The sequence below is a fragment of the Homo sapiens genome, chromosome 6 (assembly GCF_000001405.40).
Source record: "Homo sapiens chromosome 6, GRCh38.p14 Primary Assembly".
Classification (NCBI taxonomy): domain Eukaryota; kingdom Metazoa; phylum Chordata; class Mammalia; order Primates; family Hominidae; genus Homo; species Homo sapiens.
The window spans coordinates 154791004-154804810 of record NC_000006.12 but is presented as its reverse complement, the minus strand read 5'-3'; the positions used below and the strand labels follow the sequence as shown (position 1 = coordinate 154804810).

Below are 13807 nucleotides of genomic sequence, written 5' to 3'. Positions count from 1 at the left end.
GGAATACACCTGGGATTCTGGGTGCCACAAGGTAAGACATTAACAATAAAAAGGGCATCCCAAAAGAGCCAAACAGGATGGTGAGAAGTCTTGAAACAGTTGGAAAAAAGTGTACTTCATCTGAAGCAAATAAACCTAAGGGGAAGAATGATACCTGTCTTCAAATAATGAAAAGCTACATCTCTAAAGATAGCGGAGTAAATTTGATTCCTTGCTTCAGAAAGCAAAACATGGGTCAGTGTATATTAATAGAAAATAAAGGAAACAGGATTCAGCTCAACAAAAGAACACACAATAATAACAATTAGTTAACTTCTCATTACAGAAAGCATTAAAATACTGGATAAATAAACTGTATCATCAGGACTGTTAAAGGAGATTCTTACATTGTTTAGGACACTGATCAACATGATTTCAAATGCTGCTTGCAAGTTTGCAATTCATAATCTAAAATACTAGTTTTTAAATTTTGTCAAGGGGAATCATTTTACTAAAATGATACATTTGTATCTAACATATTCTAAAATTATGTTTTTGTTTATTACCCCAATATATACAACTAATAACTTCTGTTTGAAACAAGAGACCCACAGACTTTCACCATTCATCCTTCTTCCATTCTCCCAACTTCTACCCCTGCCTCCTCCAACATCTTCCCCCTACTAGTCCATTCACATACCCTCACAGAACCTTGGGCACTGCAGAATTGTTTAGGGAAAAAAAAGTAACTGATTTAATAAAAACATACAACACATTTCTTTACAAAAAAAAAAATCCTCATAACTCCAATCCTTAATTCTCATTAGGTTGATGTGTTTCCACAATTTCATATGCTTTCTAGAAGTGGCCTCTAAGCACTAGAAGCAAGCTTCATTCCTAGTATTCCAACCACTCTTACAATTAAGTTAAATAACTTAAAGCCTAATATGGAAAATATTACAACCAGATTTACCAATATGTATCAATGTTCTTATAGGTAACTTTGATACAGTCTATTTGCAAAGATCTGAGAAAAGACTCAAAATAATACAAAGAGACAACAAGACATATCTCTACCACCTTTGTATAATGTTAGAGGTTCAACAGCTTGAAATAATAATCCCAACTTACTAAGTATACTTAGTAATTCAGATGGCAACATCCCACTAAATATAAAAAAACTATGGCTATAAAGAAAAAATTCTTACAGTTGTGAAGCTGGAATTTCCTTTTTGGGTTCTTCACTATGCTCAGAGTCTTCCCCAAAATCAAACCTATCCATCAACTTCTGGGGGAAAGAAGGAGAAACAGACATATTAAAAAGTGCTTCACACAAATACAAGTTACAAATGCTATTTTAAATGTCAATGGCATTCCGTTATATCTATCATTTAATGTGTAAATAAACATTTTGTATCACTTTATACTATTATAAAGTGTTTTGAGTAGATCTTTTCTTTAAAGCATTTTGATATGTATTATCTTACATAACAAAACAAATTATGATAGAGGCAGGATAAACACTAATACTCAAATTTTACAGAAGACTAAGAATTAAAATAATTAGGTGGTTTTTCCATGGTAATAAGCTTGATAAAACATCTAGGGCCATATTCAATGGATCTATTCCTAATATGGTTCTCATCTTAGAATGCTGTTATTCTTCTGAATGCTCAATTTAAAGGCTTTTTATGTGGTCTAGCTATTTAGTGTTAGACTATATTAGACTTAGAAGCTGCTGGCCAAAACAGTCTAAGTAATAATCCAATAAATCAGTATCTACTTTCCTATAAAAAGTACAAATTTTAAAAATATGAACACCACTTCCAAGTAGTATGATATTCCCATAATTAATAAGCATACTAAGAATATCACACACTAAATTGTACATGAAAGATTTTAAGTTTTAGAAACACTTTAATTATTAATAATTTAGGCATCAACTTATTATAGTTACAGTATAGTGACTAGTTGTAGAGAAGTTTCCTTTAAACATTTTACATATTGATTAAAGAATTTTAATTTTTGCAGGTCCAAATTACAGAACCCAGAGCATCACAGTAAAATGTGGCACCCATGAAAGAAATCAGACAAGCTCAGAAAGTAATCACTTGCCTCAGTGGTGAATACAAGATTTTACTGACTAGTTATTTTTAGTCAAATGAAAATATTTTAAATGTTTCAAAAATGTTTCAAAAAAAATTTTTTTTTTTTGAGTCAAGAGTCTTTCTCTGTCACCCAGGCTGGAGAACAGTTGCTCAATCTTGGCTCACTGCAACCTCTACCTCCCAGGTACAAGCAATTCTCCTTCCTCAGCCTCCCCAGTAGCTGGGATTACAGGCACGCATCATCTGGCTAATTTTTGTATTTTTAATAGAGATGGGGTTTCACCATGTTTGCCAGGCTGGTCTCAAACTCCTGGCCTTAAGTGATCTGCCTGCCTTGCGCTCCCCCAAAGTGCTGGGGATTATAGGTGTGAGCCACTGTGCCTGGCCTAGGAAAAATTTTTTTAATTACTTAATTTTTTTCAGAAGTTTGAACCTTTTGTAAAATTCAGACTGTCTTATACAGTGTACAGGAGATACTGAAAGTCTACAATAAAATTTATTTATAGAATTAAAATCCATGATAGTATATAATATTTAATAATTCATATAGACTTGATCCGATATTTTAATTTCTACCTTGTTAAAGGAGACTCCCTGTTCTAAGGGAGTAAGAGTGTTGGCAGCTGCAGCTGCAGCTGTAAGTTGTGCCGTAAGAGCTTGCAACTGAACAACAAGACCAGCATCTAGGGCCTGCAGAATGGAAGGCTGGGGCTTCTGTTGTTGTATCTGTAAGGTTTGTATTAATTGTTGAAGCTGGAGAGAAAAAAATATATATTACAAAACAGGTGTTGGGTTTTTTCTGTAAGAGTGGCCACCTAAAACTTTTAGTCAGTAAAATTAATCATTCCACACTCTCTTTGAAAAAAATACACACTATTAATAAGTTAATTTTTTGAAGTTTTTCTGTGTACCTTATATAACACAGTCCTTAATAAGTTTGTCTTACTTCTGGAAAGTCAGCGAACTTTAAACAAAATAAAGTGATCTGTGACAACCAGATAAAGCGCTCATCACAAGCTGACACCTTTTTCACTAAATTTCTCTACCTTGTTCAATTAACTCTTTAAACTCAGTAAAAGGACGAGTACTGAAAATAGCAGCAGCTTTTGCTGTTATTCAGAATTACCATCTGAGCACGTACTTCCTGAAAGTTGGAGAGTCATTAAGAAATCTGTTTCTCAGAGTAGAGTCTGGCAACTAGTTATTAATAATAGTGTCATCTAGAGTTGAAGGCAACTCTTGTTCCCACCATGTACCCACCCCTGTTAAAAAACAGACACAACAGTGAGATCTTTAAGAGATTCTATAAATAAGAAAACCCTATATACATTCCAGAAATAAATGATAATCAATCTGGTTATAAGCCTGAGTTAAATCCAAAAATTATTAGTTTAAAAGAGAAAAATAAAGACAGCAAAGCTACTGATAACCAAGACAACTGTACTCTTGAAGTTCAACTTCTAGGATGAAAGGACACAAAAACTATGTAAGATGACAGTAAAGTAATTTCATGCCTACTTAAAACAGTAACACTAGGAAACAAACTAGAGTCACTTCACTATCAACTAAACATTTTCTATAAAACTATTAAAATGATAGAAACACCGTATTTCCCCTTTACACTTTTTAACTGCTCCTTTTGACATCTCCATTTTTCCCATGGCACTGTTATTCTTTTGGTCACCCAGGTAAAAAACCACTGGAGCATCCAATTTTCTTCCTCTACTCTGACTTCGCAGTCTATCAATTACTGTCTTACTGACTCTGTTTGTACTATCCCTTTCAAAGTTTCTTCTGTCAAAAATATTTATTTTAATAGGCATCTTTTAAAATAAGAACACTTGCTTTATGAATTGTTTCCAAAATATTACCACAAAATAAAATTACTAATTCTATAATTTCACCTAATATACAGCTAATATTCAGTTTCCCAACTGTCTCAAAAATGTAGAAAATAGATTCAACCTAAGAGTACACATCGGTTTTTTAAAATATTTTTAAGTCTAGAATGGCCCCATGTTTTCTATTGTATTTTCAGAAAGTATACAACCTTACTATTTTTCATAATCATTACCCTCCTTTCCAAAACCACTACTACCAAAAGAAAGATATTCTGTCTCTAGACTTCTCCTCTCTCTAATCCATGTAAAGTACTGTTAAGATCATGTGACTTCAACATTAAAAAGTCCCTGGTGATTCCCCATTGCTTAGCAAATGAAACCTTTTATTTCTGAGCCCACCATTTATAGTTTTCACAGCCCAGGTCACACTTAAGTCTGCCATTTAACTTTGTCATTAATAGCTTACACAGACTATCTTTTCCTTCAAACAACTCAACTCTACAATATCCTTTGTATCTCCAACACTGTAATGCTTTTGTACATCATTCATTCATTCCACAAAAACATATTGAACACCATCTACAACCTAGACATTGGACAGGCAGCTGTCAACAACCACAAAAAATTCTTGCCCTAGTTTAGCATACATTCCAGTGGGAAGAGGTAGAAAAAAAACCAAGTAATTATATAACATAACAGAAGGTAGTAAGTGCTAAGGAAGGAAGTAAGCAGAGGCGAGAGAGAACGGGAGTGTAAACAATGACAGGTAAGAGTTTACAGTTTTAAATAGCAGTCACGGCCAGGTGCGGTGGCTCATGTCTATAATCCCAGTACTTTGGAAGGCCGAGGCGGGCGGATCACTTAAAGTCAGGAGTTTGAGACCAGCCTGGCCAACAAGGTGAAACCTTGTCTCTACTAAAAAATACAAAAATTAGCTGGGTGTGGTAGCAGAAGCCTGTAATCCCAGCTACTCAGGAGGCTGAGGCAAGAGAATTGCTTGAACCCGGGAGGCCAAGGTTGCAATGAGCCGAGATTGCGCCAATTACACTCCAGCCTGGGTGACAGAGCAAGACCCTGTCTCTAAATAAATAAATAAATAAATAAATAGCAGTCACTGAAGGCCTTATTAAAGTGACATTTAAACAAAGACAAGAGATGAAACCATATGAATATATGAGGGAAGTGGGTTTTCAGTATAAAAAACTTCAAAAGCAGAGATCTTGGGGCAGGATTATAGGTAGTTTATTTAAGAAACAACAAAAAGGATGGAACAAGTTACAGGAGAAAGAGGTGAGAAAGCAAAGCAAAGGATAATATAAAACCAGGGTTGGGGGTGGGCAACATAAGCAAGTCTTATCATTAGTTAGAGAAGTCTATGAACTGGTGATAGAAAATGTTGGGAAGGGAACAATAGGTCAAACTGAGAACATACAAGGACCAATGAAGTGACTGCTGAAACTTGGGATTTTAGTGCAGGCACGATGGCTTGTGCCTGTAATTCCATTGACTTGGGAGGCGCAGGTGAAAGGACTGCTTGAGGCCAGGAGTCTGAGACCAGCCTGGGCAACATAGTGACATCCTGTCTCTATATAAAAATAAAAAATTGGCCAGGCACGGTGGCTCATGCCTGTAATTCCAGCACTTTGGGAGGCTGACGTGGGGGGATCGCCTGAGGTCAGGAGTTTGACAACAGCCTGGCAAACAAGGTGAAACCCCGTATCTACTAAAAATACAAAAATTAGCTCGGCGTGGTGGCGGGTGCCTGTAATCTCAGCTACTCGGGAGGCTGAGGCAGGAGAATCACTCCGGGAGGCGGAGGGTGCAGTGAGCCGAGACAGCGCCATTTCACTCCAGCCTGGGTGACAGGCTAAGACTCCATGTCAAAAAATAATAATAAAATAAAATAAAAATAAAAAATTAACCAGGCATGCTGGCTACAGGTGTAGTCCCAGCTACTTGGGAGGCTGAGGCGGGAGGATCGCTTCAGTCCAGGAGTTCAAAGATGCAGTGAAATACAACTGCACCACTGCACTCCAGTCTGAGTGACAAAGCAAAACCCTGTCTCAAAAACAAACAAACAAAACATCTTGGGCTTTTACTCTGAGTGAGACAGGGAGCCACTGGAGGATTCTGAGCAGAGGAGTTGCATGAACTCTCAGGTATTTAAAGGGTCATGCTACCTGAAGTATTGAGAACAGACTGTTGTGGGGTAAGGGTAGAAGCCCCATTAAGTGGTTTCGGCAATAAACTAGGTAAGAAATGATGGTGGCTTGATTCTAGGAACTAGTGATAGAGGTGGTGAGTTAGTGATTCAGAATATATTCTGAAGGCAGAGGATTTCTTAACAGATTGGATATGAAGAACAAAGGGAAGAAAGGAATCAAGGATGACTCTTAAGCTTTTGGGTATGAGCAAATGGAAAAATCGCATTTCCATTAACTGAGATGAAGATGCAGGTGGAGCAGGTTTTGTTTGAAAGACTCAGAATTCACTGTTTACTCTCAATTGTCTCTGTCTACGTAGCTCATCCTTAGCATCCATTTCTTACTCATCCTTTAAAAAACAAATTTAATTGTCATCTGTATAACAGAACTTTCCTGAACCAATTGTTCAAGCCAAAGTATTATCTCTAGTTCTGGATTTCCAAAGCCCTTCTTTTCTAAACTTCTCCCATGATTCTTATTAATTTTAAATTTAATTACATTTATGTATTGCAATTAATCTTGATTATTAAACTTTAGGCTTCCAGAGGCCCGAGAATGTTTCTTGCTCGTCTTGTATACTCCAGAACAAGGTACAGGGCCTCAAACACTGCAGGTCAAAGTAAATGTTTGCTGAAGGTTGAGTGAATGAAAAACAACCAATGAAGTGATACAGTATCACTGGACTTCAGACACCAAACTCTAAAAAATTTTAGTTTGATTTGAATAGTGAAGGGTGAGACGTATGAAAATTGGAGAAGTAGATGATAAAGTAAAAGGGAGTGCAACACAAGCAAAGAGAATACTTACATTAATTTAGAGAAATCTATGAAACTTTGTAATCTAAGTAATGAAAAATGTTAGAAAAATATAACAGGTTACATTGAGAATAACTCTAAATACCACAAAGTTGGATTTTATTCTATGCATAATATGTAATTATTGCATGTTCCTGAGCTTAAGTTTAAAACATACAAGATCATTGATAGGCTGGGCACGGTGGTTCACACCTGTAATCCCAGCACTTTGGGAGGCAGAGGCGGGCAGATCACAAGGTCAGGAGATCAAGACCATCCTGGCTAACACGGTGAAACCCTGTCTCTACTGAAAATAGAGAAATCAGCTGGGCATGGTGGCAGGTGCCTATAGTCCCAGCTACTCGGGAGGCTGAGGCAGGAGAATCACTTGAACCTGGGAGGCAGAGGTTGCAGTGAGCCAAGATTGCACCACTGTACTACAGCCTGGGTGACACAGCGAGACTCCGTCTCAAAAGAAAAAAAAAATCACTGATAAAGATTAATCTTGCAAAGAATTAAAATGATGGATCAAAAAGGAAAGAGAAGCAGCAAAGGGATCAAAAGCTATTTAGAGGAGTACATCAACAGTCCAAAAATGAAGAACTAGGGTAGTAACAGAAAGAAATAAAAAGCAAGCATAAACTTCAATAAACCTAAATTTAGAGCAAAAAACACAACACAAAGTCAGATGTGCATGCCAAAGTTAGTTTTTAAAAAAATTACGTACAACTATGAAAAACAAAACAGATGGTTTCTAATCATAAATATTTATTATAAAATTTATTCAGGAAAGGTAGCGTAAGTGAATACAAATAACCAAAAAAGAATTGAAAAATGTTATCGAAAATTAATCTCCCAGAACACACCAAACCCTAGAGGAGTTTGTGGTTCTTTTTTTTTTTTTGAGATTTTTGTTTTTGAGTCTCACTCTGTCACCCAGGCTACAGTGCAATGGCATGATCTTGGCTCTCTGTAACCTCCACTTCTGAGGTTCAAGCGATTCTCCTGCCTCAGCCTCCTAAGTAGCTGGGATTACAGGCATGTGCCAAGCTGCCTAGCTAATTTTTGTGTTTTTAGTAGAGACAGGTTTCACCACGTTGGCCCGGCTAGTCTTCAACTCCTGGCCTCAAGTGATCCACCTACATGGGCCTCCCAAAGTACTGGGATTACAAGTGTGAGCCACCGTGCCTGGCCCCTAGAGGTTTTTTGATTAAGTTCACCCAAACCTTCCAGAGGCAGAAAGCACTCAGGTTGTACTGCACAGAATACAGAAAAAGGTAACCATTTCTAAATTGATCTCACAAAGCAAGCAATAATCCTAATTTGAAAATAGAGTAGGGTGATAAAAACTAGGAACCCATCTCAGTAGAGGTGCAAATAGAAACTAGTTGTGAAATAGTTTACACTTCAAAGCAAAACAAAAATTACAGAATATTTAAATGTACTGCCTCAAAGGATAGCGTGAATTTGAGGGTCAGAAAAAGAGAGAGACAGAGAGAGAGAGAGAGAGAGAGAGAGAGAGAGAGAGAGAACAGGATTGCAATGCTGAATCATTATAATGAAGTCTAGTAATCAGAAAACCATACTATTATCTTCACTAATAAAATTTTTAATCAAAACCTCATAAAACACTATCATCTAGAAAAAGGAGAATATGCCCCTCATAAAAAATACATATCTCGAAACAAAACCAACATCACAGTGGGACAAAAATGAGGTATTTCTATGAGTCTGAAAAAAGTAACAATGAGTACACTATCATTATTTCTATTATGATCTCTTCCATAACTTAGTGCAATACATTAAGAAAACTATATGTAAGTACTTAAACTGAGGACACAGAATTATCATTAGTTACAAATAATATAACGGAAAATGAAAGAAAATCAGCTGAAAACTAAGAGAAACTGGTATTGACTATAAAAAGCCAAACTATTCAAATATATTCATGGAAATAAATCTAAGAAATTTGAAGAATCTACATTTAAAGAGCTACAAAGCTTAATTAAGAGACATAAAAGATTTGAACAATAAAAGTATATGTATAGATACAATGGAAAAACCTGGTATTATAAAGACAGCAATCCTTCCCATTCCTGAATCAATTCGTACATGTTTTGTGATTCCCCTCTATTCCTGAAGTTCTAGCCACAGAAGCCTTCTTCTATTCCTACAATACACCACATTGCTTCCCACCTGAGGACCTCTATACTTGCAATTCTATTTCCTATCCTCCTGTCCTGCCATGACTAGTCCATTTCATGTCTCGATTCAAATGTCACTTCCTCAAATACACCTCCTGTTGGCTATCCGCTCTACTCCTGACCCCTTCCCCCAAATCTAGTCACTATAGATTTACCCTTTCTTAATGTCATTAATCACTACCTACGATAATTTTGTCATACTATTTTTTACCATCTGTCCCCCTTAAGATAGGAGGAGGTCTCTAAGATAGGACTCCTGTCTTGTTACTGGAGTGTGATAGCACCTAATAATATTTGGCAAAACTATGTGCTAATTCCGTATTTTGGTACAGAATAAATTTTTATAAAGTAATTTTTAATGACATGAAAGCATTCATGATGCACTATTAAATGACTTAAGTAAGTAACAAAGTATACATAATGGTCCCATTTTTATAAAACTAAAAAAAGCACATATTCTCTAGGTGGTATGTTACAAAGTAATACATTAGGAAAATATTAAATTCTAAATTATTCTTGATATAACAGAAAAACCGCTCACCTGCTGGCCTTGAGGACTTTGCAAGATCTGAGCTACAGCCGCAAGTGTATCTGTATTTGTTATCTGAGATACCCACGGATCAGGTAAGCCTTGGACCACATTGGCCGGAGTAACAGGTGTCACAGGAGTTCCTTTTAAAAAGAACATCACACCCCCCAAATAAATATGTAAGTAAGTAACTAAGACTAGAAAAAGCAGAATAACTTGTTTTATTACTTTTATAAAACACATGCACGCATATTGTTTTTATTTTATTGTGTCCACTTTGAAAAAATCACTTAAAATCCTTTACAGAATTAGGTACATTAAACACACACACACACACACACACACACACACACACACACACACACACACACCCCCCACACCCCCCCCCCCCCACCAAAAGGATCTGTCCAAATTTGTCCTCCTCAATTAACTAAGTTACTATAGTGTCCCCACTTATGCTTGGGAGATGTGTTCCAAGAACTCCAGTGGATGCTTGAAACCAGAGCTAGCACCAAACCCTATATATGCTATGTTTTTTTCTGTACGTACACATATACCTATGATAAAGGTTAACTTATAAATTAGGTACAGTAAGAGATTAACAACACTAACTAATAATAAACTATACTGTGAAAAAAGTTATGTGAATATGGTCTCTCTCTCTTTTTCCCTATCTGTCAAAATATCTTATTGTACTATACTCACCTATTTTCAGACTGTGGTTGACTGCAAGTAATTGGAATCATGGAAAGCAAAACTGTGGATGTGGGGAGACTACTGTACTTCTAAAGCCTACAATACTTAACAGCCATTAAAAATCTTACTTTAGAGACAAAAATTCAGTAACATGAGGAAATATTCAAAATACAATCTTCAATAAAAAAATTTTATAGTAAGTACACATAATATAAAACCATGTTTGGGCCAGGTACAGTGGTTCATGCCTGTAATCCCAACACTTTCAGAGCCCAAGGCAGGAGGACTACTTGGGCCCTAGAGTTCGAGACCAGCCTGGGCAACACAGCAAGACTCCGTCTCTAACAACAATAACAACAAAAAAAAATTAGCCAGGCATGGTAGTGCATGCCTGTAGTCCCACCTACTTAGGAGGCTGAGATGGGAGGATCACTAGAAGCCAGGAGGTCGAGGCTGCAGTGAGCTATGATCACACCACTGCACACCCGCCTGGGTGACAGAGCAAGGTCTCAAAAAACAGTACATCAATTTTTGTTCATACACACACACACACAAAATACATACAAAATTATGAAATGCTAACCAATTTAATTCTTGGAACTATGATTTAAAAAAATTTTTTTTTTTTTTTTTTTTTTTTGAGACAGAGTTTTGCTCTTGTTGCCCAGGCTGGAGTGCAACGGCGCGATCTCGCCTCGCTGCAACCTCCGCCTCCTGGGTTCAAGCGATTCTCCTGCCTCAGCCTCCCCAGTAATTGGGATTACAGGCACCCACTACCACACCCAGCTGATTTTTTTATTTTTAATGTAGACAGGGTTTCACTATATTGGCCAGGCTGCTCTCCAACTCCTGACCTCAGGCGATCTGCCTGCCTCGGCCTCCCAAAGTGCTAGGATTACAGGTGTTAGTCACTGCGCAGGGCTGGAACTATGATAAAAATTTTTTCATAAAAATTTTTGAAAAAATTATTTAAAAAATTATGAAAAAATTATGAAAAAAATTTTTTCATAAAAATTTCAAAAAATTTTTAAATTACTTTGATAAAAATTTTTTATCATAGTCATTTAAATGCCTCAAGAGAACACGATTTTGAAATTTTGGTTTTGTTAAATAATTGTTTCAGGGTTTCTTAAAAAATATTAAGTCCCCCTAGTATCCTATAAATACCAAGTTGATACAAATGCAAGTATAAGAAGTTACAGACAACTTAAATCAGGAAAAATCTAATTGACACACCAAATTTCTAAGGTTCATTATATTTATGTTTCTGTGGATTAAATGAAAATCAGTTTTCTACATTTTAGAAATAATTACACACAAACATAATATCTAATTTTATTTTTCTCTACAAATATTTTCTTTCAATTATGTAATGCTGGACAAATTTTCCTGCACTGTCGAATTATTTTTTATATGAACAGTCATCCAAAAAGTATGAGTAGAATATTTAGACAACAAATCTATATTAAAGCAACATACCTGGAGTATTGCTCATAGCAGTGGTAGTGCTGGCCAAAACAGGTGTGACAACTGGAGGCGGAATCCCGGCTGCCATATCCAAAAGGGGCTGAATAATCTCACTCTTAAATACATTATTCTTCTGCCATAAGTTTAGTACTCTCACTATTTTACTCTAGAGAAAAAAAGAAACATGACATTTTGGTTTTTACTCTCAAAACCTTAGTACAGTCATTTCATAGAGGCTATCTGGGCCCTGGATGGAAAGGAGAAATTAAAATACTTCAATGGTACTTTCTAGCCCTAAAATTCTATGTTTCTATCATTTTTGCATTTGCTACCCTTAACGTGCTTGAAAACATGTTAATTTGGATAGAGGTACAAAGTAAATGAAAGCTCCACTTAGCTGAAGGCGGAGATGACATCCAGGCTTCCTCTCTTATGTCACTTCTAATGATATGGATGGTAAGGCTGGCTGGAGATCTGTCTTAAGGATTCTGAGGATGAGCCAGGATTCATCTCAGTACTAACGTTATATTTATAGTTGATTTTAACTTTGTCTCACACAATGTCTATCTTTTGAACAAATACGTAACTTGTAGGACAAAGTCCTTATCTAATGTGACATTTTAAAACTTTCATTTTACAATCTACTTGAGGAGAGGGCATTTCCTCATGTAAGAATTTAATCAAATTACTTCCTTTTTTGAGCATCCTGCCATGAATGCTAATTCCCTACTGACACTTTGAACCAGAGATGGACAAACTTCTGTACAGACAGAATCTGAAGCGTAACCATTTCTTCTCTCTTCATTCCCTCTTCTTTATTCTTTACTATTCCCTTTCCCCTTGCAGAATGTCAATGTCATACTGGCATTACTTAATCTGGCCCTCAGAACGATGAATCATCCTCTGTATGAATAATGTTCTACATTATTTCATTTCCTAAAATTTGAATCCTTTACCATTTTGTAAATTAAAAAAAATAATAAAAAATAAAAAACCTGCTTGCCACTGGCAAGCAGACTTTTGACATCTGTGAACCATCTCATTTACTCTTCTTGATATGCCCCTGAACTGCAGCACTGCATCCAATTTTATATTCCTCATAAAGAGTCTCAACATTGCCCATCCCAACCCACACTCTAATCATCTTACCACCAAATAAATCACATTTTTGTTTTAGTCTCAACCTCTTTCTGGATTACTCAAATAGTCAGAGTTCTTTGTATTTTTTGTAAGGTTCCAGTCAGTCATATGGCAGCTGCTATAAAATTCATGAAATATTTACGATCTATATAACGTTGCTGCTGATCCTGGTCTCAGGCCAACTATGTCAACACATTTTTTAAAAAAACAAAAAAACTTTAGCATCCTCATTTATAAAATAAGACAGTATACCAGAAGGATTCTCGGGTCTCTTTTCTGAACCTCCAAACTGTATCAGACTGTTTAAGCCAGCTAGTATTTTAAATGTCTAGCCATTCTCAAATTTTGAGCATCTTGGGAGGGAGATATATGCCTTGTTACAGCTCTTCTTATAGCGATACTATAACGTACTTCTATTTAATTACTTATACCCTAATCTCAGTCATTTCATATGAAAATCTATTTAGTTGGGAAATTCTATTTAACTATTGCCTGTCTCTTGTTATATTCTGTGTATTATAAACTTGAAAAGACTAGTTATTAGTGACTTCTATTTCTTGGGTAATTCTGAAATCTAGTAACATAATTAGCAGTATTTAGAGAAAACTTGGTAACTAGAAAAATTCCTACTTATATGTCTTCCTTGGTTGTATTAAAGTTTTACAGATCCTGAAAGCTTCAAACTTAATAGGCAGAAAAATATGCCCAATGAAGAATAATGTCTCAAGATGTCCTACAGTATTTTGTAAGAAGTATCAGCAGTTCCATCTATTATACCTTGCTTCTTGAAATAAACATTTCACCCAGAGAACACTTATGTCAGAGTAACAATATCCTGAATTCAT

The 13807-nt window shown here is 36.1% G+C and overlaps 1 protein-coding gene across 5 annotated transcripts in view, besides 1 other annotated feature; it reads right to left on the bottom strand.

Moving 5' to 3' along the window:
• Nucleotides 1-13807, bottom strand: part of SCAF8 (SR-related CTD associated factor 8) — a 100867-nt gene that overhangs the window by 29434 nt on the left and 57626 nt on the right. For all 5 annotated transcript variants that reach the window (NM_001286188.1, NM_001286189.1, NM_001286194.1 and 2 more), the window contains 4 exons: nt 11835-11988; nt 9672-9802; nt 2664-2840; nt 1188-1267 (listed from right to left, as the gene is read on the bottom strand). In NM_001286188.1, the coding sequence (NP_001273117.1) occupies nt 1188-1267; nt 2664-2840; nt 9672-9802; nt 11835-11988 (542 nt within the window). The remainder of the gene's footprint in view (nt 1-1187; nt 1268-2663; nt 2841-9671; nt 9803-11834; nt 11989-13807) is intronic.
• Nucleotides 12189-12389: a silencer, noted in NCBI's record as "peak6234 fragment used in MPRA reporter construct". NCBI's record gives its function as "represses an SCP1 promoter by STARR-seq MPRAs in K562 erythroleukemia cells {active_cell/tissue: K562}" and the evidence as "EXISTENCE:reporter gene assay evidence [ECO:0000049][PMID:32103011]".